Raw genomic sequence first — 1,890 nt, 5'->3', positions numbered from 1 at the left:
AGCAGAAAGCAAACCTGGACCAAAGTCAGGGGATGCCCACATGTGAAGGGAATATTTAAACCAGTCTCAGCAAGAGGGGAATTGCTGATCCCAGTGGCTGGAATTTGAGTTCCTGCAAGCCTTGCCACCAGAGGCTAAATTGCTCTGGGGCCATAAATAAACTTGAATTGCAGTCTAGGCCACAAGGATTGCAACTCCTAGGTGAGTCTTGTGCTGAACTGGACCCAGAGCCACTGGACTGGGAGCATGTAACCTATTGAGACATCAGACTAGGTGGCTAAGAGAGTTCTGGCATCACCTCTCCCCTAACCCCAGGCTGCCCAGCTAGTGGCTTCAAAAGAGACCCCTTCCTGATGCTTGAGGAGAAGAGAGGAAAGAGTGAGGAGGACTTTGTCTTGTACTTGGATACCAGCTCAACCACAGCCGGACAGGGCTCCAGTTAGAGTTGTGAAGCCCCTTTTCTAGGCCTTATCTCCTGGTCAACATTTTAGATATACCATGGGCCAGAAGGAAGCCCACTGCTTTGAAGGGAAGGAACCAGTCCTGGCCGGATTCACCACCTTCTAACTGAACAGGTGTTGGACGCTGAATAGCCAGCAGTGATACCCAGGTAGTATCATGACCTGAGACTTGCTGGCTTCAGATGAGACTCAGCACATTATTATCTGTGGTTGCTAGGGGGCAAGACTCCTTCCATTTAAGAAAAGAGGAGGGACAAGTAAAGTGGACTTTGTTTTGGACCTCAGGTACCAGCTCAGCCACAGGGATGCAGAGCACTAAGTCGGCTCTTGGGGTCCTTGATTCCAGGACTTTAGTGGAACATTAGTGGTAGTCTGGCAGTACAACTCATTGTCGTGGTGGCCACAGCCTGAGACTCCTCTGCCTTTGGAAAAAGAAGGGAAGGGTGGGAAGAAATATGCTTTGTAGTTTGAGTGCCAGATGAGCTGCAGTACAATAAAACACCAAGCTGATGCCTAAGGTTTTTGACTCTAATCATCTCTGGCTTCTGGACAGCACCTCTGGACCTGCCTGGGGTCTGGTGGAACTCATTGCCCTAAAGGAAGGACACAGGCCTGGCTGTCTTTTCTTTCTTTCTTTTTTTTTTTTTATTATACTTTAAGTTCTAGGGCACATGTGCACAACATGCAGATTCGTTACATATGTATACATGTGCCTGGCTGTCTTTTCTAACTGCTGATAATAGAGCCCCAGGGCCCTGAGCAAACATGAGCAGTAGCCGGAGAGTAGCTACAGGGGGCTTTGGATGAGACTCAATGCTGTACTGGCTTCAGGTCTGACCCAGCACAGTCCTAGTGGAGACCCCTTCCTTTTGCTTGAGGAGAGGAGAGGAAAGAGACCACAAGAGTGCTTGTGTCAAGCTACTCCCAGCCTCAGGTGGTTCAGAATAGAGACTTCATTTTAGAGGGAGATATTAAGGGAAGAGAACAAGAGTCTCCACCTGGTAATATAGAAATTCTGGATCTTGTCCAAGGCCATCACGGTGGTACTTATATAAGTCTTCAAGAACCACAGCATTACCCTGGGCTCAGGGTGCCCCATATAACAGATACAGCTTAGATTACAGCTCTTAAGTCCTTTTTAATATCTGGAAAGCCTTCCTTGAAGGACAGGTGCAAACAAGCCCAAACTGCAAAATCTACAATAAATACCTAACTTTTCAATGTCCAGACACAGAAGAACATCTGCAAGTATCAAGACCATCAAGGAAAACATGACATCACTAATTGAACTAAATACATCACCAGGGAACAATCCTAGAGAAACAGATATGTGACCATTCAGACAGAGAAGTCAAAATAGCTGTTTTGAGGAAATGCAAAGAAATTCAAGATAACAGAGAGAAGGAACTCAGAACTCCACCAGATAAAT

This window comes from Homo sapiens, chromosome 13 (assembly GCF_000001405.40).
Source record: "Homo sapiens chromosome 13, GRCh38.p14 Primary Assembly".
NCBI lineage: Eukaryota > Metazoa > Chordata > Mammalia > Primates > Hominidae > Homo > Homo sapiens.
The sequence above is the reverse complement of the archived record's forward strand: the minus strand, read 5'-3'. Positions refer to the sequence as shown.